This window comes from Homo sapiens, chromosome 3, assembly GCF_000001405.40.
Source record: "Homo sapiens chromosome 3, GRCh38.p14 Primary Assembly".
Classification (NCBI taxonomy): domain Eukaryota; kingdom Metazoa; phylum Chordata; class Mammalia; order Primates; family Hominidae; genus Homo; species Homo sapiens.
In genome coordinates this window covers 112276252-112301906 of record NC_000003.12, presented here as the reverse complement: position 1 = coordinate 112301906, position 25655 = coordinate 112276252, and the positions used below count along the sequence as shown (strand labels likewise).

At 37.0% G+C, this 25655-nt stretch overlaps 1 protein-coding gene across 13 annotated transcripts in view; it reads left to right on the top strand.

Moving 5' to 3' along the window:
- Positions 1 to 7690: 7690 nt before the first annotated feature.
- The window catches only part of SLC9C1 (solute carrier family 9 member C1), a 153319-nt gene continuing 135354 nt past the window's right edge, over positions 7691 to 25655 (top strand). For 11 of the 13 annotated variants that reach the window (XM_011512718.2, NM_001320531.2, XM_017006247.2 and 8 more), the window contains exons 1-5: positions 7691 to 7814; positions 15029 to 15203; positions 21124 to 21224; positions 23050 to 23178; positions 24047 to 24212. In XM_011512718.2, the coding sequence (XP_011511020.1) occupies positions 15116 to 15203; positions 21124 to 21224; positions 23050 to 23178; positions 24047 to 24212 (484 nt within the window). In that variant the 5' untranslated portion in view covers positions 7691 to 7814; positions 15029 to 15115. Of the gene's footprint in view, positions 7815 to 15028; positions 15204 to 21123; positions 21225 to 23049; positions 23179 to 24046; positions 24217 to 25655 lie in introns of those variants that run through there. The other 2 variants (NR_135297.2, XM_017006246.2) reach the window with 2 other exon arrangements.

Below are 25655 nucleotides of genomic sequence, written 5' to 3'. Positions count from 1 at the left end.
AAAACTTTTTTCTCTTTTTAATTTTATTTTTCTTTAATTTCTCACCTCAACACAAGATTATTTCAGAATAACCAGCAGTTTCCTTGACCTTTTGCTTGCTTTTCTGAATATTTTGAATATAACACATTACTTTCTATTTTATTCCAGAGTATGCAAATGTGAATGATGTGAAACATCACTGTACTGGAAGAATTGATATATTACTTTTAGTAATGTACCTGAGCTAAATGACTGAAGCCTTAGGGTACATAGAAGCCACAATAATTTGTATGACATTTGGAAGTGAATTAAATATTTTCAGACATGCTGATTTGACAGCCAGTGTTATATTTTTTAGACCAACACAAAGCACAATGATTACTCCAAACTCAGTATTTTCAAATTCACATATTTAAAGTCAGGGAGGCTACAATTTCTTTGTCAAAATTATGGGCTGCCATATTTATGTCTATTTCTTCATCTGTATTATTTGATACTCAGAATTTTTAAACTTCTGTAATTTCTGATTTTGTAGACTGTAATGTGTTCATTGCATTTATGAAGTAATATATAATTGTACAGTTTCTGTGAGTAAATGGAATGCTTGGGCTTTCAATACAGTATTCATATAAAGCAATAAATATTAATGTTATAAAAAATGTTTAAAACAAAGTATATGATAGAATGTATGTAGGTCATATGCAAATACTACACCATTTTATATAAGTGACTTGAGCCCTCATCTCTACAGTAGTGTAGAGTACTGGGGAGAAGGCAACCAATCTCCCATGGATACCAAGGAATGACTGTATATAAAGACACAGATAAATTTAAAGTAAAGGAGCCAAAAAAAATACCATGTTAACACTAATCAAAAGAGAGTTGCAGTAGCTATATTAACTTTAGACAAAGCAGATTTCAAAACAAGAAAAATTTTCAGGGATAGAAGAGGGCATCATGTAACAATAAAGGGGTTAATTCTCTAAGAAGACAATAATTTTTAATATGTATGTGCCTAACAGTAGATGTTAAAAATATGTGAGGCAAAAACTGATAGAACCACAAGGAAAAACAGACAAATCTATTGTAGCCAGAGACTTCAACATCCCTTAATAGATCAAGCTGCCAAGAGATCAGGAAGGATGTAATTGACCTGAAAACACTATCAATCAACTTAATATCATTAAGATCACTTTATCCAAAAACACCAGAATATTTATTCTTTTCAAATTCACACAGGACGTTAACCAACCTAGAACTCATTCTGGGAGTTAAAACAACACTTTAACATACAAAATGTGTTCTCAGACCACAATGGGATTAAACTAGAAATAACAAAAAGATAAATGGAAAGTCCCCAAATATTTGGATATTAAACAATATATTTCTAAATAACATATGGGTTAAATAGGAAATCTCAAAAAAAACCCTAAAAATATTTTAACTAAATGAAAATAAAAATACTACTTATCAAAATTTGTAAGATGCAGTAAAAGCAGTGTTCAGAGGAAAAATATATAGCACTAAATGCATATATTAGAAAAGATGAAAGATTTAAATCAATAAGCTTCTACCTTAAGATATGAGAAAAAGAAATTTAGGAATTCCAAGGAGTGCAGACTTTAACCTGAAAATCTAACTGTATTATAAGTGTATCTATGCAAACATAAGAATTGACAGTGCACACACTTGACAAGATGTGATGAAAATGGTACCTTACCTCTGTGGACTTTCTGCCAACCCATAACCCCAGTCTAATAATGAGAAAAACATCAGACAGGCTCTGAGAGAGGGTAATTCTACAAAATACTTGACTCCTCAAAATAGTCAAAGTCATCAAAAACAAGGAAATTCTGAGAAATTATCAGAGCCAAGGGAAGCCTAAGTAGACATGACAAGTAAATGCAATGCGATATTCTGGTTGGCACTCTGGTATAGAAAAAGACATTAGGTAAAAACTAAGGAAATCAGAATGGACTGTGAACTTTAGTTATGAAAAATGTATCGAATTTGGTCTATTAATTTTAAGAAACGTATCATGCTAAGGTATGATGTCAATAATAGAAAAAAAACTAGAGAAGGGAGTACATAAGAATGCTGTACTATCTTTTCCATTTTTCTATAAACCTAAAACTGTTCTAAAAAATAGTATCTTTAAAAAAAAGCATTGTTTTTCTATATATCTTCAATAAGCTCATAGAAGACAAACACTTGAATATAGCATTTACAACAGCTCATCTCCAAAATAAAAAGAAATAAAAGTATCTGTACAAAAAAATACATTAAAAGATTTATAAGACTTCTCCACTAAAACCTGCAAAATATTTCTGAGAAAATTAAAGACTTAAATAAATGGAAAGATATAACATATTCATACACAGGGAAAGGCATAAAGATGTCAGTTCTCTCCAAGCTAATTTTTCGATTCAGTACAAACCTAATCAAAATTCAACCAGTTTTTAAAAAATTTTTAATTGTGAAAATTGACAAGCTGATTCTGAAAAAGCCAAGATAACGAACATAAGACTTACCTCTGTTCCAGATATAAAGCTAAAGTAATACAATGTGATATTGATTTAAGGATAAGAAAATACAATACAATAGTGATTCAGAAAAAGACACACAAATATAGTCACCTGATATATATATATATAGATAGATATATATATATACAAATAAAACAGTGTATCAGATTAGAGAAAAATGATCTTTCCAATAAAAGATGCTGTGTCAATTGAATATCCATGTGGAAAAATTATATATTATATATTGACCCCTACCTAAGACTGGAGACAAAAACCTATTTCAAATGCACTGAAGATTTAAATGTGAAGATAAAACACAGCTTTTTTGTTTGTTTGTTTGTTTGTTTTTTTGAGATAAGCTCTTGCTCTGTCATCCAGGCTGGCATGCAGTGGTGCAAACTCAGCTCACTGCAACCTCTGCCTCCTGGGCTCATGTGATTCTCCCACCTCAGTTTCCTGAGTAGCAAGTAGCTGAGACTGTAGATATGTACCACCATGCTTGTCTAATTTTTAAAGTTTTTGTAGAAATGAAGTCTCACTGTATTGCCATGGCTGGCCTCAAACTCCAGGACTCAAGCAACCCTCCCACCTTGGTCTCCCAAAGTGCAAAATACAGTGTTTTAAAAGAAAACATTGTAGAACATCTAAATGACTTTAGTAACCATATAAAAAAGCTTTGGGAGTTCACCCACCACGACACCTGCCTTACGTGTAATGATAAAGGGAGTTATTTCAGTTGAAACAAAATAATGCTAATAACATGAAAACATAAAAGTACAAAACTCAGTATAAAGGTAAGAATATAGTCAAATTTAGGATATGCTAAATACTGTAAAGGTGGCACATAAATTAGACTTGATCCAGTGTAAAAGATTTTTTAAGTATTAAAAATTACTATAACTACAAAAATTTGGTCATGGAAATAATGTGTAAAAGATGTAAACTGATATCAATAGCATTATATGTGGAGGGGGTAGAGAAATGAAAATGTAGAGATTAGAATGGTGTTTACTAGGGGATTGAGGATGGAGGAAAAAGGAAATAGAGTGACGTTGGTCAAAGGGTACAAACTTTCAGTTGAACAGGAGCAATAAGTTCCCGAGATCTATCGTGCAACATAGTGACTATAGTTAATAATACAGTGTATAAATTTAAAATTCCTAAGAGAATAGATTTTTAAGTATATCACCTACACATACAAAAAATAATAAATGTGTGAAGGGATAGATATGTTAATCAGCCTGATTTAATTACTCCACAATATATACACATATCAAAACACCACATTGCACATCATAAATATATATAGATATAGTCAATAAAAAGAAGAATCTCAAACCAATAACTTAATCTTCCACCTTATGAAACTAGAGCAAGAAGAGCAAACTGAATTCAAAACCAGCAAAGGAAGGAAACAATAAAGATTAGAGCAGATGTGGAGGGAGAAATAGAAAATGAAACAAGCAAAACTGACTAAAAATAGATAATGTAAATATAACTATAACAAGTAACAAAATTGAGTTGGTAATCAAAAAATGTGTTACAAAAAAGAAGCCACCAGATGGCTTCACTGGTGAATTCTACCAAATGCTTAAAGAGGTAACACAAATTCTTCACAAATCCTAACAATAACAATAACAGCAACAAGTAGAAGAGAAGGAAATAGTTATTAACTCAGTTTTTGAGGCTTTGATACCAAAGCCAGACAAAAAATTCACAAGAAAATACTATAGATCATTATCTCTTGAGAGTGTAGATGCAAAAATCCTCAGTAAAATGCTAGTAAGCTGAACCCAGCAGCATATAAAAAAGAAATTTACATGTCGTTCAAGTGGGATTTATCTCAGGAATGTAGGTTTGGTTCAACAAATGAAAATCAAGGTAATGCACCATAAGGGAGAAAAGCTTTTGATAATCTCAATACATGCAGACAAAGCAATTGACAAAATCTAACACCTTTATATGATTAAAAAGCTGAGGCAGGAGAATGGCATGAACCCAGGAGGCGGAGCTTGCAGTGAGCCGAGATCACACCACTGCACTCCAGCCTGGGCGACAGAGCGAGACTCCGTCTCAAAAAAAAAAAAGAAAAAACCAAACAAACAAGCAAAAAAACACTAAAAACAAAAAACAAAACAAAAAAACCCCCTAGTAATAGAAAGAAACTACTTTGAATCAATAAAGGTCATGTATGAAAAACCCACAGCTAACAGCATACTTAATGGTGAAAAAGTTTTTCCCTAAGATCAGGAACAAGACAAGAATGTCTGTTCTCCCTACTTCTATTAAACAGTGTATTTGAAATTCCAGCCAGGCCAATTAGGCAAGATTTTTTAAAAGGTGGGGGATGGAGTGGGATACTGTTTGGAAAACAAGAAGTGAAGTATATCTATTTGCAGATGACATGACCCTATATACGGAAACCCCTAAAAATCTACAAAAGGCCTATTAGAGCTAATATTAGGTTGGTGCAAGAGTAGTTGCGGTTTTTGCCATTACTTTGGCACTGACCTATAAATGAGTTCACCAAGGTTATAGAATACTAGATTAATACAGAAAAATCAGTTGTACTTCTATACACTAGCAATGAATAATGCAAAAATAAAATTAAAAACCCAGTTCCATTGTGATTGCAAGGAAAAAAAAAAAGAATTAAATGACCAGGAATAAGTTTAACAAGAGAGGTGCAAGGCAGTCCATTTGCTGATTTTTTTTTTTTTTTAGAATTTGTTGTTGTATTTTTTGCATCTGTAATTTTCATTTGGCTTCCCTTTATATCACCTATTTTTTTCCCTGGAACTTTACTTCTTTGCCCAGACTTTCTATTTTTTCATCTATTTCAATACTGTTCATAATTATTAGCATTTGCTGAAATATTTTTATGATGGCTATGTTAAAATCCTTTTTAGATAATTCTAACATTTTTGTAATCTTAGGGTTGGTGTCTTTTATTGTCCATTCTCATTCAAGTTGGGATCACCTTGGTTCTTGGTATGATGAGCGATTTTCAATTTCTATTTGGACATTGCAGATATTATAAGATACTGGATCTTATTTAAATCCTGGGTTTTACCAGGCATCCTCTGACACTGTTCTGGCAGGAGAAGTGGGGTCACCTCTTGTAGGCAAGTTGGAATAAAAGCTCAAGTTCTCTACTCAGTCTTCATTGACACACAGCCGAAGAAGGGGTGTCTTCTTACTGCTTAGGTAGGAGTGGGGCTTCAGGCTCTTCACTAGGTCTCTGATGATAGCCCCCTGGATGGGAAAGAGAAGGGTGTCCTATTACTGCTCCCTGCATGGTCTCCACTGATACCATGGGAGGTGGCTTATGCCTATAATCCCAGGACTTTGGGAGGCTGAGGAGAGGATGGCTTGAGGCCAGGAGTTTGAGACCAGCCTGGGCAACATAGCAAGACTCCATCTCTACAAAAAGAATTAAAAAATTAGGTGTGGTGACATGCCTGTAGAAGTATTCACCCAAATACTTGGGAGGTTCAGGTGTGAGGACTGCTTGAGCCCAGAAGTTTAAGGTAGCAGGGAGCTATGGTCATACCACTACCTTCCAGCCTGAGTGACAGAGTGAGATCCCATCTCTTGGAAAAAAAAGGTGAATGATTCTGGATTACAAGGATGTCCAGTGTGTGGTCATTAGAGTATATTGCTAAAGAGAAATATTAGACAACATTTACATTTCCTGTTTTATTTATATATATATATATATATATATATATATAAACTTAGCAAGACATATGTATATAAACAAATACATAATGTGGCAAATATTAGCTTTGCAACTTAATTAATTTTTAAATATATATCCACACATGAACCACAACCCACACACAGATATGTGGCATGTATTTCCAACAATGAGAATCCTTTTTTTTTTTTTTTGAAACGGTGTCTCACCCTGTCTCCCAGGCTGGAGTGCAGTGGCGCAATCTCGGCTCACTGCAACCTCCATCTCCCGGGTTCAAGTGATTCTCCTTTCTTAGCCTCCCGGAGCTAGGACTATAGGCGCCTGCCACCATGCCCGGCTAATTTTTGTATTTTTAGTAGAGACGGGGTTTCACCTTGTTGGTCAGGCTGGTCTCGAACTCCTGACCTCAGGTGATCCACCTGCCTCGGCCTCCCAAAGTGCTGGGATTACAGGCATGAGCCACTGCACCTGGCCGAGAATAGATTTTTTAAAGACCCAAGAAAAGGGGCAGCCCAGCAAGACAGAAAATTTCACCAGTAACTGCTCTACTTTAACCAAACACCACAGAAAAGTGTTCACCCACTCCCTGTACCCACATACCAGCAAAGACTGAGTAGGAAGCTTAAACTTCACCCATACCATACAAGATGCCAGAACCCTGCCTGTTTCCCCACCCCAACCAGAGCAGTATCAGAAAAGGCCTTGTGGGAGCTGGAACTTCCATAACAACCAGGCCATAAAGATGCACCCCATGCCTCAGTTGGAGACCATGTAGGGAGCCTGGACTTCTGCTCCAACCCAGCCAAACAAGTTGCCTCCTGCCTTCTTCATCAGGGTAGTATCAGAGGAGGCCAAATGAAGAGTTGGGAATTTTACCACCATTCACTTATAAACGTGTGGGTCGGGAGAAAGAGATGAAACACAGAGAACAAAACATTAAATACAATTTTAAATAACTTTAAGATATTTTATGAGAGTAGGAATGTGAAAAGTTGGCTCTATAGTAATAACTAAGTAATTTCAATTAAAATATTTTTTACATATTATGTTTAGAAAAAACAAATGAGTATATCATTATTCCTGAAAATTTCCTCACATATAACCCAGAGTGAAAGTTCACCTTGTCATCTTGATTTCATTCTCTTACATGCCCACAATATCCATTCACTTTTTCCCTAACCCAGCAACCTGCGTCCTCATATCTCTACCACACTATCTTATCCAGGAAACTTCCTTTTACTAGAATTCTGGGAAAGCAGTGTCCAACAGCTCTTTGTCAGAAATCCACTGTCCCAAAGTCTTAAATTAACACAATGGCGCAATTTCTGTAGGTTCATTTTCACCCCTTATTTGTTTATTTTTAAAAAATAAAACAAAGCCTTAAGCCGTCAAATGCCTGAGATATACAGGAGCAATGACGTTGCATTTCATCAGCCAATCAAGTAAGAGATGATGGGCCTGAAGCTAACCGGTGCAGACTAGGGGCGAGTTTGGAGCAAGTAACTGTCAGTGAGGTTGCAGTTGGTCTGGGCTGTTTGGCTGTGAGCGAAATAGCTGCCCCCCACTTCTCACTTGCACACCACGGGATACTCCTCCTGAGGCTCCGGATGGTGAGCTCTCCAGTCTCTAGTTTCCTTTTCTGGAAGTTGACCTTTCCTACTGGTACTTTCTCTCTCAGTCTCGCCTCCTAGATGAACAAAGGCTCCCACTGTTTTCCTGCTAGAGATTCAGCCACTCCCTCTTGGCGCTTCTGCCTTTCTTGTGGCAGACCATGGAACACTTTCCCAAAGATCAGCTAGCTTCTCGGTTTGAACTTCTACCCCTTAGCTGCTTCCCCTCCTCCATTATGCTTTTTACATCAACTCTTTGTGAACTATCCAGTGGCATGTGTTCCCTTTGCGTTACTGAAACTGAAAAGTCCAGCCCTAGGGGAAAGCTCACTGGTTCAGGGAATCGCCTCAGGTGTGTGGAGCTGATCTTGAGCTGGAGGAAGGGCTCATTCTGAGTGGAGGGGCATTAGGAGGGCAATAGCCCACCCACCTTCAGAGTCAGTAAGATGTCTGCGTTGTGTGGTAGGAGAGTTTACTAAGGAGACAATCCAGCCTCTGGTATCAATATAAAATAAACCATTAAGCATGAGCTTTGTAGCTGTGAAGATTACTGAGATCCCACAGTGCCCTCTTCAGGATGCTTTCTTCACCTAATTCTTGCAAAACGTTCCAATCTGAAGGAAGAAGACTGTTTCCATGTTCAGTAACATGGTAAATTAGTGTGACTTACGGTTCATGAGACAAAATTTCTCAATGCTGGCTGACTGACAAGGACAAATTCATGTCATTTTTGAGAGGGCAGTCATTAATTTCCTCCACACACAAAGAGAATTGAGATATTAGCTAACATGAGAGATATATATATATATATATATTTGAAATAGAGTCTCACTCTGTCACCCAAGCTGGAGTGCAGTGGCACAATCTAGGCTCACTGCAATCTCTGCCTCTTCAATTGATTCTCCTGTCTCAGCCTCCCAAGTAGTTGGGATTACAGGCATGTGCCACCACACCTGGCTAATTTTTTTTTTTTTTTTTTTGTATTTTTAGTAGAGACAGTTTCACTATTTTGGCCAGGCTAGTCTCGAACTCCTGATCTCAAGTGATCCACCCGCCTAGGCCTCCCAAAGTGCTGGGATTACAGGCGTGAGCCACTGTGCTCAGTCAACTAACTTATTGTTAAATTAATGCAGAGGACCTATGTGATAAACCAATATTTTTTTCTTTAATGGGATTTGGACTCACAGACTTTTACAAAGCTGTCAAAAGTCAGCTTAAGATGAAGAGTTCTAATTATATTGAAAACCTGTGGCCGGGCGTGGTGGCTCACGCCTGTAATCCCAGCACTTTGGGAGGCCGAGGCGGGCAGATCACAAGGTCAGGAGATCGAGACCATCCTGGCTAACACAGTGAAACCCCGTCTCTACTAAAAATACAAAAAATTAGCCGGGCGTGGTGGCTGGCGCCTGTAGTCCCAGCTACTCGGGAGGCTGAGGCAGGAGAATGGTGTGAACCCGGGAGGCAGAGCTTGCAGTGAGCCGAGATCGCACCACTGCACTCCAGCCTGGGCGACAGATCATGACTCCGTCTCAAAAAACAAAAAAAAGAAAACCTGTTTATTCTCATAGCTATTTCCTTACCCATACATTTAACATATTAAGCTACAGTAATGTTAGTATTTTTAAAACTATTTTAAGATGACATCTATTCTCAAATAGAGATTTCTTATGAGATTTTGGAGTAGAGGTTGGGGAAGCCAAATGGTATTTATCACATATGCATAGCCAGAGAGATAAATTGTGTTGAATTTGATCATATATATCTCTGAATTTAAGAGTAAACAGGATTCGTGGTAATTTTATTATTATTAATGTGATTATAATTTAACTTTCATGTTCTGGGATACATGTGCAGGTTTGTTATATGGGTAAATTCATGTCATGGAGATTTGTTGTACAAATTATTTAATCACCCAGCTATTAAGCCTGGCACCCATTAGTTATTTTTCCTGATCCTCTCTCTCCTCCCACCATCTACCCTCAAGTAGGCCCCAGTGTATTCCCCTCTATGTGTCCACGTGTTCTGAATATTTAGCTTCCACTTATAAGTGAGAACATGCAGTATTTGGTTTTCTGTTCCTGCATTAGTTTGCTAAGAATAGTGGCTTCCAGCTCCATCCATGTTCCTACAAAGGACATGATCTCATTCTTTTTTATGGCTGCATAGTATTTCATGGTGTATATGTGCCACATTTAGTTTATCTAGTCTACCATTGATGGGCATTTGGGTTGATTCTATGACTTTGCTTTTGTGAACAGTACTGCAATGAATGTACGCATGCATATGTCTTTATGATAGAACAGTTTACATTTCTTTGTGTTTATACCCCGTAATGGGATTGCTGGGTCAAATGTTAGATCTGTTTTTAGGTCTTTGAGGAATCACCACACTGTTTTCCACAGTGGTTGAACTAATTTACATTCCCACCAACAGTGTATAAGCATTCCTTTTTCTCCACAACCTTGTCAGCATCTGTTATTTTTTGACTTTTTAATAGGAGCCATTTTGACTGGTGTGAAATGGTACCTTCCTTGTGGTTTTGATTTGCATTTCTCTAATGATCAGTGATGTTAAGCTTTTTTTTTCATATGCTTGTTGGCAGCATGTATGTCTTCTTTTTAGAAGTGTCTTGTCCTTTGCCTACTTTTTAATGGGGCTGGTTGTTTTTTCTTGTAGATTATTTTAAGTTCCTTATAGATGCTGGATATTAGACCTTTGTCAGAAGCATAGTTTGCAAAAATTTTCTCCCATTCTGTAGGTTATCTGTTTACTTTGTTGATAGTTTCTTTTGCGTGCAGTAGCTCTTTAGTTTAATTAGATCCCATTTGTTAATTTTTGCTTTTGTTGTGATTGCTTTTGATGTCTTTGTCGTGAAACCTTAGCCCACTCCTATGTCAAGAATGATGTTGCCATTACCAGCCACTACAAAAACACACTTAAGTACACAGACCAGTGACACTGTAAAGCAAGCACACAGTCAAGTCTGCATAATCACCAGCTAACATCATGCTGACAAGATCAAATCCACATGTATCAATACTAACCTCGAAAGTAAATGGGCTAACTGCCCCAATTAAAAGGCACAGAGTGTCAGGATGAATAAAGAACCCAGACCCTATGGTATGCTGTCTTCAAGACACCCATCTCACATGCAAGATCGAAAGAAATGGATGGAGAAAAACTACCAAGCCAATGTAAAACAGAAAAAAGCAAGGGTTGCAATCCTGATTTCAGACAAAACAGACTTTAAGCCAACAAAGATCAAAAAAAAAAAAAAAGAAGGAAAAGAAGGTAATAACATAATGGTAAAGGGTTCAATTTAACAATACCTAACTAAATATATATCCACTCAACACAGGAGCACCCAGATTCATAAAGCAAGTTCTTAGAGACTTTCAAAGAGACTGACACTCCCACATAATAATAGTGGGAGACTTCAACATCCCACTGACAGTTTTAGACAGATCATCAAGGCAGAAAATTAACAAACATATTCAGGACCTAAACTCAGCAGGCTCAAATGAACCTGTAGACTTCTACAGACCTCTTCACCCAAAAACAAAAGAGTATACATTCTTCTCATTGCCACGTGACACATACTCTAAAATCAACCATACGGTCAAACAAAGAACACTTGTCAGCAAATGCAAAAGAACTGAAATCACAATAACCACTCTCTCAGACCACAGCACAATTTTATTATTTTCTGAAAAAAAAATTTATTATAATTGAATGTGTAAACACTTATTACAATTTTTAAATAATTTTAGAAATGATAAAAATGCTCATGGGAACATGTATTCTTAGTTTGGAAAACAATAGACTTCTTAACTATATTAAATTCAGAAAGCATGTAGGAATGTGTAACTGTGGTACAGAAAATAATTTTCCTTATTTCGTCTAGCCTGTATACTCGAGGATGCTTAGTCTTGGCATAAGAGTGGGCAAGTTAAGAGGTGACATTGACAATATTTTTCTCAATAGTTTGATGTTAAGAGCAAATATTACTAATTGACCAAAATGTTCTTTCCTAATGGCAGGGGCTTCCCCTGGAGCAGTGTTTCTAAACACCAGTTGCTCATTAGAATCACTGGAAAGCTTTTAGAGTTCCCAGTACTCAAGCTGCACCCCAGAAGAATTAAATTAACCTTGGAGGGTGGGCACCAAGGCATCAGTATTTTCTAAAACTTGCCACGTGATTCCATGTGTGGCCAAGGTTGAGAATGTCTGTTAAGAGACATAGCTGAGCTCACTCTTCTCTGTCACTTATATTACATTCGAGATCTTCAGGTCTACCTACAGTTCTTGATATGTTTAGGTAACATTAAAAAATTTAGAAATCCTTTGAGGAAAAGAACCAAACACAAAACCCAAAACAACCCCCAAATCCAGGAAGTGATCTAATACTCAGAGATAGGACTCAGTATGTTGCTCCAGGCTGGCCTTAGGCTCACAGCTGCGCCAATGTTGTTCTCCTCTTTGACATAAATGATCCCACAGAACATCAACATCAGACAAAGTCACTTCAAACCTTAGCAAAATGAGACACAAAGGTTGTTGTGCAACCTATACAACACCAAACACCCTCAGTCTCAGCTAAAATGAGTGACTGCTGCTTCTGTGCCCATCACAGCTGTATCTTAGCTCTAGTCTACCCTCCTTATAGTAAAGTTTTATTGAATACTCAATCACGGAATTGTCCTCACTTTCTGACAGCACCTTACCTAAAGTGAACCCTCACTTCCATAGACCTTTTCCAAAATTACCCAGACAAAGCGCAGATCCTCTAATAGGTTATTTCTAACACTCTTTTGCTGATATACCCCATGGTTTCCCATGGTGAGTCATCTCCTTCACCGCAACAAATAAATAACAAACAAAACTTGTTAACTACAGATGTATTTCTGGTAACATTTGGCTGAAGGGCATTGACAGCCTTTCTCACAAAACCTCACCAAGAATATTGAAAAGAAGCTGGCTTTGAGACTAAAAATTGAGCAATGTTGTCTGAATTGAGCGGATCACAGTGGTTGCTAACCTTGGCTGGGTTAAATTAAAATTACCTGAAGAGCCCAGGCTGCAAACCAGACTGAATTAAATCAGAATCTCTGGAGATAGGACGTAGGCACCAAGTATCATTATAGCTCCTTAGGTAATTCCAAAAAATAATAAATAAAGGGAGAGAAATTACACAGACTAGAAAATTATACAGATTTGAAAACTGAGGCCAGTGGTGTTAAAGTAAGCTACCCTGAGTCTTTCAACCTACAAGCAGAAGCCCATCAGACCTACGAATGCAAGTAGTCTGACCGCAGATTCTGAAATTTGTTTTAGAGACAAGGTATCACTCTGTCACCCCGGTTGGAATGCAGTGTCACGATCATAGTTCACTGCAGCCTTGAATGCCTGGGCTCAAAACAATGTCCCACCACCCCCTCAGCCTCCTGAGTAGCTAGGACCATAGGCGAGCACCACACTGAGGTAAGTTTTTTATTTTTTGTAGCAATGGAGGCTTGCTATGTTGCCCAGCCTGGTCTTGAATTCCTGGCCTCAAGGGATCCTCCCATCTTGGCCTCCCAAAATGTTGGGATTATAGGCATGGGCCAGTATGCCAGCCAGAGTATGCACTTTTACCTTGGTGGTAATATGTTACAAGCTTTGTGAATGTTATCTATAAGGCTTTTGATGCTGGTGATACAATAATAAGAGGAAAACAGCACAAAATTTAATCGTAAAAGGATGAGCCCAACAATGCAAATAAAACCTGTAAGAGCCACTAGATGATATGATTTTGGGTCATTTCTCTTCTGCTTTTGAAATACTTGTTTACATATTTATTTCAAGAAGTGTTCACAATAAACATGTATTTATTTTCCCCTTCAAAATATTGTTTTATAATAAAAAGGAAGACATAAGAAAACATATATATATCATATGTATATATGATGTGTGTGTGTGCGTGTGTGTATGAAACTGAAAAAAAAATTTGCCAGGTTATGAGAGGAATTGTAATTTCTTTTCCTTTTCCTTTTTTTTTTTTTTTTTTTTTTGAGACGGAGTCTTGCTCTGTGGCCCAAGCTGGAGTGCAGTGGCACGATCTCGGCTCACTGCAAGCTCCGCCTCCCCGGTTCACGCCATTTTCCTGCCTCAGCCTCCCGAGTAGCTAGGACTACAGGCGCCCGCCACCATGCCCGGCTAATTTTTTGTATTTTTAGTAGAGACCGGGTTTCACCATACCAGGATGGTCTCAATCTCCTGACCTCGTGACCCACCCGCCTCGGCCTCCCAAAGTATTGGGATTACAGGCGTGAGCCACCGTGCCCGGCCAGGAATTATAATTTCTTAGTAAGGCAGCCATATGAGATGCTGATAGAAGGCACTAAAAAATGTCAAGCTACCATTATGAGAGATAGAATCATAATATCCTGTGTGAAATGTAAGACCTTTGATGTAAAACTTTCCTTTCCATGGGAAGCAGGCGAGATTGCCTGACTGTGGTTAACTGTCTATTGTTTCAAACTCTTATCAAGGCCCCTCTTGTTCCTCTTCCAAGAAGTAACAAAGAAATAGAACATGTAACAATTTCCCTGATTTAAGAAAGTTTTTTGGTTTTAATATTTTTCTTACATTCTTGGTTGCTATATACACATATAAATTTAGAGAACACCTGGTCTGTCAGTGTCCCAAATGAGATCAAAGAAGGCTGTGATTGGATATCATCATGATTTATTAATTTCTGTCTGGATAAAACAACAAAAGAGATCCAAATATTCTTCCCTGCTTTTCCTCCTACTTTGGAATAGCTGTCAGAACATGCTTGCAGAGGCTTAGATAATCTGAGGACAAAACCCTTTGTTGTCCTTCCACAGAGCTAAGTAACCTGCACCAGCTTGTGGTTCCAATGACCACATTGGTGAGTGTGAATAGTTAGATGGAGAATCCTTCTTTCAGACAGTTGGATGGATTCAGAGTGGGTAACAAGTGCGTAGTGCTTGGCATTGTAAGTAAACATAAGGTAACACTGGTAGTCTCTATCACTTGGGGTTCTGACTTTTTTATTACATTAACTTGAAAGCATCATAGAAGGGAGAGGCATCCCTAAATTTGGCAGACCACGAGAAATCACTAGAAATAATTAAAGGAGAATAGGGCTTTTTTTCTTTTTTAGAAAATTATTAGAAGGCCACCAAGAAGGCAAATCTTATGTTTCTTAGATTCAGATGGACTGTGAAAAACAACAAGATGGATGATCATATGGAGATTGCTTCTAACATAAATCTGCATAAAAATTTTTCTGAAACATGGCTGGAATATTTAAGGAGTTTTTTTTCAGTACTGAGGACCTCCCTGAAGTCATTCTAACATTGTCTTTGATCAGCTCCATTGGAGGTAAGTATCACTCTCTCTTTATCTGAGTTTATTCTTCCGGTACATCTTATAAATGCTACCATATAGAATTAAGGAAAGTAGAAGTAATAGGATATAATTTTGTTCTCAAACTTATACCTTTAGCTCAATATTTTCAATCAAATGAATCCAATAATAATTTGCTCCTATGGAGAGACGTGTAGAATCTGATTTTCATAACATTCATCCTATTGGGTTCAAAGTGTTCATTCATACCTTCTTACTTGCTATGTCAGGGTCAGATTTCAATGAAGGAGATAATTGAAGAAAACAGGCAGAAAATCAAGGGTTGGGGCAGGGTGTCCCATAGGTTTTGTCCAAATTATAAATTATGCCTGCTATTTTGAGAAGAAAAGAACATGGTATAAACAAAAAGAAAACACTTTTTGCACTATCTTTGACCTGATTAGGGACTGTATTACAAAGAAGCAGAAAAAAATGAAATGGAAGCAAATGTTATGATATTACTTATTGCACTTTTAAAACAATAATACACAAAGTTAAATATTTGTTATGGGCTTTTTAATGTGTAATAAGTAATTTTTTTCACAGTATTATAAAAATTTTATTTCAAAGCTTTTGATATAGCAACACATAAAAGCAATATGAAAACTAACTGTTAGGCCAGGTCCAGTGGCTCACACCTGTAATACTAACACTTTGGGAGGCTGAGATGGGCAGATCACTTGAGTCCAGCAGTTCAAGACCAGGCCCATGAACACAGCAAAACCTCGTCTCAACAACAACCAAAAATTGGCTGCACATGTTAGCACGCACCAGTAGTCCCGCCTACTCAGGAGGCTGAGGTAGGAGGACTGCTTGAGCCAGGAGGTGGATATTGCAATGAGCCAAGATCATGCCACTGCACTCCAGCCTGGGTGACAGAGCTAGATCCTATCTCAAAGAAAAAAAATAAAAAGTAAATGTTAAATTATAACTGAATACCATAAGGAAAAATATAGCTGTTTGTAGACTTGATGTGCATATTTACATCTGGTTAAATATGCGGACTCCCTTGCTTGTTTTCCACGCAAGGAGTCCTGGCTTTGAGCATGCAAGCTGAAATTATGCAGTGTAATCTTAATCTATGCAAAAATTTATGATTGTTCTGTGACTTTTAAATTTGCTAGATTAAAAACTCTCCTGGCTGGGCACGGTGCCTGATGCCTATACTCCCAGCACTGTGGGAGGCCAAGGTGGGCAGATTGCTTGAGCTCAGGAGCTCAGGACTGGCCTGGGTAACATGGCAAAGTCCCGTCTCTACTAAAAACACAAAAAAATTAGCCTGGAGTGGTGGTGCACACCTATGGTCCCAGCTACTTGGGGGACTGAGGTGGGAGGATCGCTCGAGCCTGGGAGGCGAAGGTTGCAGTGAGCCGAGATCATACCTCTGCTCTCCAGCCTTGGTGACATAGCATCACACCTTCTCAAAACAAAAACCTCTCCTGTTGTTGGCTATAAATATTTTTCAGGAGATCAAGACCATCCTGGCTAACATGGTGAAACACTGTTTCTACTAAAAATACAAAAAATTAGCCAGGCATGGTGGCAGGCACCTGTAGTCCCAGCTACTCAGAAGGCTGAGGCTGGAGAATGGCATGAACCCAGGAGGCGGAGCTTGCAGTGAGCCGAGATCATGCCACTGCATTCCAGCCTGGGTGACAGAGCAAGACTCTGTCTCAAAAAAAAAAAAAAAAAAAGAAAAATTGTATTTTTTTCTAATAATGTAAAACTAATATTTATTTAGTATACTTAATAAAACTTTTAGTAATTTAAAATATTTTAGTAATTTAAAATATTAGAAACATTGAAACACTAAAACATTTCTTTATAATTTTATAAAGAATAGTTTGAATAATGCTTGTCTTACCATATAACTTACTAGTGTTCATCTTTTCTATGCCTTGGCAAATTGTCTCACTCCTTCTTAACTTTGGGTCAGCTTCCAAAAGTTTATCCTTTGCATTTTCAATGTAATGAAGTATCTGAGAGCTCCTTTAATGTGAAGTTTTTTGCTGGCATCACTTCCTGAGACATGGTTGTTCTTTACATAACAACCACTTTCTTAATTTATGTCTATACATTTGACTTTGCTAAATTCCCCTGGCTACATATCTAGAACTGCCTCTTGAACAGCAGCAGCGTTAACATTCCCATAGTCAGCTTTATCTTCTGTAACATTCTATCTGAAGCTTGCAGCTTCATGAGATAGCTTAACATCAATTCATGCCGACTTCTGAAATGATGAACCCAGCTTTTACTGGTAATAATATATTCTCTTTCAGTCTTCTTGTCATTACCATTTTCTTTCAATGCAGTAACTAAAGTTATCACTTTGGCCTGAATGCTAGTCAAACTGATTGGGATTTGTTTTTGATTAGTCTTCAATCCAAACAAGTAAATGCTCCATTTCAACCACAAGCAGCTCTCTGTTCCCAGTGCAACTAAAACTGAAAGATGTTGAAGCAACTTTACCTTTTTACATTTATCAGACTTTTAAAATAGGTTTGTATTACAATTTCATGCAGGTCTGGGTCTCAACCTATCTTTGCTTTGCTGTCACCACTTTCAAATCTAATCACATCCAATTTCACTTCCAGCATTATCACTTTTCTTTGCTGCCCTGTCCCTTGCTAACCAGTTACCTCTTTTGATTATCCATTTTTGTAAATGGTCACGAGTTTAATCCTTGGGGTCGCGGAGGCAACACTACTATGCACTTTGTGCTTTGCTATCTGTGCATGAACTGAACAGATGATCAGTAACGAATCACCAACAAACTTTGAAAGAAGTAATGTAATAGGCGACCGATCATGATGCCCATCTTTTTTTTTTTTTTTTTGCACAGTGATTTGTGGACTAAAGAGCTGGCAGCAAAATTTATGCAAGTTTTCTCAATACTGTGGTCATGGAAATATTAACCACATTGTTGGACTGGTTTTATTTAACTTAACTGTGGTAACCAATATTTATGCATATTGGAACTGTGCAAAGCAAGGACTGCCTGTATCTAAAAAAAGCAAAACTGCCTATGAGTTCACAAAACTTTTAATCCAATTTAGTTAACTACTGTCAAAGCCTAATCCTGAATCAAATAAAAACTGAACTGCTTACTGGAGTTAGAAAAATGTTTGGAAAGAATTTAATGCAGAATTCTTCAAATTAGGATTTGCATAGAACAAAGACATTCTTTTTTTTTTTTTTTTTTAGAGATAGGGTTTTGCTCTGTCACCCATTGTAGTGGCAATAATCACAGCTCACTGCAGCTTCAAAACCTCGGGTGCAAGTGATCCTCCCACCTCAGCCTCCCAAGCAGCTAGGACCACAGGCACACACAACCATGCCTCATTAATTATTTTATTTTTTGTAGAGACAGGATTTCATTTTGTTGCCAGGACTAGTCTGGAACTCCTGGCCTCAAGGGATCCTTCTGCTTTGGCCACCCAAAGTGCAAGGATCACAGGCATGAGCCTCCATGCCCAGTCGACATTCTTTTGGGAATTCAGATCCCCTCCCCTCATTTCAATAGTCTTGAGGTCTGCAAAGAGTAAAGTTGTAGACAAAACGATCATCACAAGGCACATGACTGTAACTTTTTCCATAGCAGCCAGTACCATGTTTACTCCTCGGTAAAACAGTAGCATCCATTCCATTAATGTTGTTTTAGTTTGTTTCTGAATGCATTTATTTCACAAATTTGTTTGTTAAGGGCTATAAACAAAATTTGTATCAATTTTTATGTTTGTGTATATTTACAAAATAGAAAATTAAGTCAGCATTAATTTAAGTTAACATGAATAGTCACAATAATTTTTCCCCTCTATAAAGGGTGAATATTCAAGGAGACTTCAAAAATTTGTGGAAAAATGGAATTAAAAGATAAAAGTATAAACTATATTTCTAAACATTAGCTTGACCGAGTTCAAGACACTTTTCTAAGGGATGATACCAGCTATTTAGTCCATCCGAAAGAACTGAGAGTTCTGGAAATTTAACCACATCAATGCAGTTTTTTTTTTTCATTATTAACTGAAGAACAATGTACTGCCCTTAACAAATTATTAGGATTAGGACAAAAAAGTGAGAAGGTGCCAAACTGGGACTATAGGGTGAATGCCTAGTGATTTCCATCAAAACTCTCACAAAATTGCCCTTGTTTAATGAGAGGGACGAACAGGAGCATTGCTGTGGTGAAGAACTCTCTGGTGAAGCTTTCTCCGGCATTTTTCTGCTAAAGCTTTGGCTGAGTTTTTCAAAACACTCTCATAATAAGCAGATGTTGCCATTCTTTGGCACTACAGAAAGTCAACAAGCAAAATGCCTTGAGCATCCAAAAGCTGTTGCCATTACCTTTGTTCTCAACCAGTCCACTTGTAGTTTGACTAAACTATTTCTGTATCTTGGTAACCATTGCTTTAATTGTGCTTTGTCTTCAGGATCGCACTGGTAAAGACAGGTTTCATCTCCTGTTACAAGTTTTCAGTGAAATGCTTCAAGATCATGAGCCCATTTATTAAAATGGCCATTGAAAGCTCTGCTCTTGTCTGTAGCTGATCTGGGTGCAATGGTTTTTGTACCTCTCAGGTGTAAAGTTTGTTGAACTTTTCCGGTCAGAATTGTGTAAGGTGTGTCTATGGTGTTGGTTGTCATTTCTGCTGTTAATTGTTGGTTTTCTTCAATTAGGCCATGAACTAGATTAGTTTTTTTCTCACAATCTGATGTGGATGATCCGCCACTGTGGGCTTCTTCTTCAACATTACATATCCCTTCTTAAAACTAATTATTCATTTATAAACTGTTCTCTTTGGAGCATTGTCTCCAAACATATATAAACTTTTCATAAAGCATCAATTAAGTCACCATTCTTCCACCCAAGTGTCAACATAAATTTGATGTTTGTTCTTGCTTCAATTTTAGCAAAATTCATATTACTCTTTTCAAACCGATGTCTTATTCTTCTTAATGCTTCAGACTAGATCCTTATGATATAAATCTTCAACGTCTTGATCAAATAAATATGACAAATTATGTTCTGTAAGAAAAACACCCTTCACTTTTATTCCTTCCCTGCATATTTTGAGTAATTATCTTCTAAGACCCATGCATCTTTTCCCAAAATCTCTGAGAGTACAATTCCTTATTTCCTTCACTGTGGCAAAGTGTTTCAGAAATGTGTTCCTTGAATTAAAAATCGGTGTATCCTATTTGACTCCCGCTCCTCCAGGATCACATACCTGCAGCCAACCATGCCAAGAGCTTCCCCATTATCTCCACATCGGAGAGCCTTTTCTCCCAATATCCTCCAGTTTCAGAGACTGCACCCGGAGACCCATTATCAGGTTCCCAGATTCACCTCGATTTTGGTCCTGCCTCTCTGCTTTGCATTCTCAGGCTCAGCCTTACAAGAAGGGCGATGGTGTCGGATTGTGCCAGAATTAGTGAAAACAGGAGGAAAATGAACCAGTTGCAGCAAAACCCACTATTCCACAACTAGTTTTTTAAGTTGGTCTAGTTTCTCATTGTTCCTGAACCAGATTTCATTAAAGTTTACTTACTAATCTTTTATTGCAGGATTGCTAAAGAAACTAATCTCTGATTTATAATGTGTACAAAACTACTATAAATATTTCAATAGTAACCCAAGAGCCAATAATTGCTAGTAATGTTTGTTAAGTTTCTAAGGAGATGAGAATGAGATACATCATAGGAGAGGTAAAACAGTAACCCGGTAGATTAACAGTTACACTGATTCTGTGTGCTGATAAGTGTGAGGGAGGATTTTAAACTCATGAAAAGTAGTGAAACTGTAAGACATTGTTCACAATTTTAAGAAATCATGTCACATTAAAGTTCTATAAATGAGATATCTCATTGCCTTTCAGTAACAACATATTTTTTGCAGCATTTTTGAACCGGCACTTGGAAGACTTTCCAATTCCTGTCCCTGTGATATTATTTTTACTTGGATGCAGTTTTGAAGTATTAAGCTTTACATCTTCACAGGTGTGTATTGTAAATGAGTATTTTACACTATTTATTTGAGAATTATATAAATGCAGAGATGGCATTTAAAATTTGCAAAAGTTATTCATCCCCTCACTGTTCTGCCAGTTGATAGATGATTGTGATGTGGCTAGCATCACGTCAGGTATGTAGAAAAAGGAGCCAGGCCTGCAAAAGCTGAGATCTAGCTGAGATCTGCAAAAGCTGAGTACATACAGCTACTGAGTACATACAGCTACTGAGTACATACATAAAAGTATTAGTGGCCAAGGAATGTTAAACAGATTTTAAAAGCTTGGGAAAAAAATGGCTAATGACATAGGAGCTCAGGGAGACTTTGTACTGCTGGTACAGGACTTGAGTAGCAAAAATATTATAATATTGAACTAATCTATTTCCTCAATGAAGACTGTTTTAAAGGGTTTCTGTTAGATGAGAAACTAGTCTCTTAAGTGTGCAGATTTGGCCAAGGGGCCATAATTTGCCAATATCTGCCCTAGTCAATCAGAATGGATGGGAGAACTTGTCTGAAATGATTGACTTTCCCAAACAAATTCAGTCAATGATGTTAAAAATATTATACAAAACATGTATTCATGTAAGAACCAGAAGCAGTTTACTCCTTTACATGTCATAAACAGGTTTTGTAATCATATGATTTTGACACAGATGCAATTTGAAGTACTTCTATAAGCTTTACTATTTGTCAGCAACTCCTGCAAAGGAAGAGACCAATGTTAAGACCCATGAAGGGGCTAAGATTTTTCTCTACTTGCCAGCTAATAAGCTAGCCTGCCAGTTTCATGATCCCAGCAAAAGAGATGGGACTCCTGGACCAGAGAAAAAGGGTTTTATTATCCACAGCAATAGCAATAACCAGAGTTAACATTTTCTTGTGCCTGTTTCCTGAACCATAATCCCAAAGAAGCAAAGAAGGCCAGGTGAAATCTGCACCTACATTGGGTTATATATCTGGCCACAGGAGAAGAAATGTAAGCTTAGAGAACCCGAATCTTCTATAATGGGTAGTAAGCTCATCTGCTCTCTTGCCTATTCTTCCACACACATCTTCTATATAAGCCATAGCCAATTATTTGTAGTTTTTAGAATTTGGTACAATCACTTACTCCTTTGTGAATTTTGTGCATGATTATCCACCTACCTGAAACTTCTTTCTTCGTCTTGATTGCCTGAAAATCTGCTGCATATTCTTTAGTACCCATGTCAATGTACTTCCTATATCTGTTCTTTAAATGTAATAAATGTCTCTGAGGGAGATACTATCTTTATTACACTGGACAGTAAAGTAAACCTGTCATTTGCTCTGGAGGACAACACTTGCTCTGCTTCTAAGCCATACCAACATTCATGAAAAGATAGTCTGGAAGAAAAACAACCAATGCCTGTATGCATAAACCGTGGAGAAACACAAGAGACACATGGAGAATTATCTCCCAAATGCAAAGATATTACCTAACACAGTAGGTACTCAGTGTTTCCCTAGTAAGTGAATATTGAATGGATACCTAGAATAGGAGTTACACATTTCCACTAAATATCTCATGTTAAACATTGTTTATTAGTTATTGCATGAATTACATTAACTTTCCAGTCTCTATCCGTTCTATTCTTCCACACATATCTTCTACATAAGCCATGGCCAATTATTTGTAGTTTCTAGAATTTGATACGATCACTTACTCCTTTGTGTGATATATCTTTTAAAAATTGTCTTTCTCTACTGTTAGATTTAGGAGCACCTAGCATGTATTCTATTCTAATAGTGATGAATAAATGAGAAGATGATATATTTGTATAATATTAGGTCCAAAGATACGCAAACGCCATACAATGGATGAGTCCAGACTTATTTTTTCGTATATTTACACCAGTAGTTTTCTTTACTACTGCATTTGACATGGATACGTACATGCTTCAAAAGTTATTTTGGCAGGTAAGCATTCTTTTTTGGTAATATCATTCATTCATGAACCACATATTATCTATGTTCAAATTTTTAAAATATTTTTTTCCAAAATAGGGAACAAAGAAGAAAGAAAAGGGTATGGGAGTAATAAATTCAGCTTCATCATTTAGTGAATAAGCCATATCTTGGCAATTGCCTAGCATATCAAAGACCCAGGGGAAAAATTAGAAAGAAAACAGTAATTCTGAAAATCTGACTTGCATAACTTCATACCAGATATAATTTTAACTCGGAAATGCTACAAGAGTGCTATGAGAAAGTGTATTAGCTCCAGTAAAAGGAAATTGCTAAGAAAAGTCATGTTTTAAATACCTATGTTTTAGAGCTTCCTACATTCATATCTAAGAGAATAAAAGCAGAGAAGAAAACACAAGCAGCTAAACTTTAATTCAAAAACCATAAGTTTTTTAATATGTGAGATTTGAACGGTATCAGGGAAAGACCTCAAGAAAAAACACTCCAAATCATAAGTAGGGTGTACGTTTCTTTCAAAGTAATCAAAACAGTTTTGTAAATACAGGCCATTACCTAAACTGCATTAGAAGCAAATAATTTGTTAGAATAATTTATACTTTTAAGCCAAATCCAGACACATGGAGTTCAGACAAATGACAAAAAGATGAAATAAAAAAGAACAGACAAAAAAGGGGTCCTGCATCTTTGGTCAAGTGGAAGTCAGCTGAAGCAGCGTGAGCTAGATGGCCCCACTCCTGTGTCTGCTGGTGGGTACTGTTGGTGTTGGTTGATTCTGTATCTCCAATAATCCTGATTATTTTCTTCTTAAAATGGACTACAAAAGCAGTCTGATTTTTCTAATTGTAAAATTTCTTTGCAGATACTTTTAATTTCAATTCCCGGCTTTTTGGTTAATTATATCTTAGTTCTTTGGCATCTGGCATCTGTAAATCAATTACTTTTGAAGCCTACCCAATGGTTATTATTTTCAGCTATCCTTGTGAGTTCAGATCCCATGCTAACCGCAGCTGCTATAAGAGACCTTGGTAGGTATATTGTTCTCTTTTTCTATATTTATAATATCATATTTCATAATGAACTTGTATTTTAAGATCTTTTGCTTTTGGTAGCTTTTCACTGTGAGAAGTCAGGTAGTGAGGGATTGGGGGTTGAGGATTAAGCAGAGATTCTGGAGGTCATGCTTAGGGCAGAAGAAATGCCAGTGATGGGCTTACTTAGTGTCAAAAAAAGTATTATACGCAATTGTGGAATAGGGGAGGGGATTAGTTTAGAACCCTTGACTTTATACATACTTCTACCTTGAGCCAACAGAACAGTTCTGGGACGTTACAATATTGCATATACACTGTGGTGACATTTCTGTTGCCCAATATTTCTTTTCCTTTGTAAAGAATCATTAGGACAACGCCATTTTAAAAATATTTTGCTTTTGGAGTCATTGTCATCATCAAGACTGAAAGCCTAAAAAGTCAAAAAATGGTAAACTCAACAATCACACAGTGTTTTGAGTGTATAGTATCTTAAGAAAAATCTATCTATATTTAAAAGTAAAATACCAACTCAATTTAGCCCAGAAAAACAAAAATAAAAAGCCTCATGCAAGAAAAACAATAACTTTATTGTCCCCTTTCATCACTTTTTAATAATGAGAACTAGAAAAATTGCTTTAAAATAGAATATTAATATGGCAACCCATGCACACATTTGCACACACACACGCATACTCTTTTCAATTTTAATTTCACTTTCTAGCCAATTAAAGGGGAAATAGCTATCTGAGGCAGGTAGAAATATAGAGTAGGGGAGACACATCAAGTGTAAATATATGAATAAATGAGAGCTGAGCCTTCAAGACAAAGGACATTAAGAGAGTGAGATAACACTTTAGAAGAAGATGCCAACATCCACCATCCAACCCTGGATTCTTGTCTTCCTCCCCATACTCTCAGCACACATCCCTGCCTCCTTGTGACTGTCAGTGCCAGCCCTTTTCTCCGCTATATTTGAGAGACTCTTATGATACCTGAGAGCTGATTTCACTCTTGTCTAACTTTGTTATTTTGTAATCTAGTATTCCACTGATTTTCTATCCTGCTGCTATTGAACTTAATTTACGAAGAGTACCTTGCAAGGTTATTTTCATAAATTTTGTCCATCTTGCCATTACTTTCAGAATTTTGTTTCTCTCCTCCCTGTATCTTTCCAGAAGAAATTTTTAAAAGTAATTTCTTCTTGGCAGCATTGTTCCTGAGTTGACAAAGCAAGATTTATAAGATTTAGATATATGTATATATGTGTATGTGTGTGTACGTGTGTATATGCATATATATATATTTTTTCATATATATATATACTTGAAAAATTTGCCCAGGACTGTCAGAATACATAAGTACATCCACATTGGCTTGAGCTTTTCATGTCCTTTGACTCCTCCTATGCCCTTACATCTACTACGTATTTCTGAATAT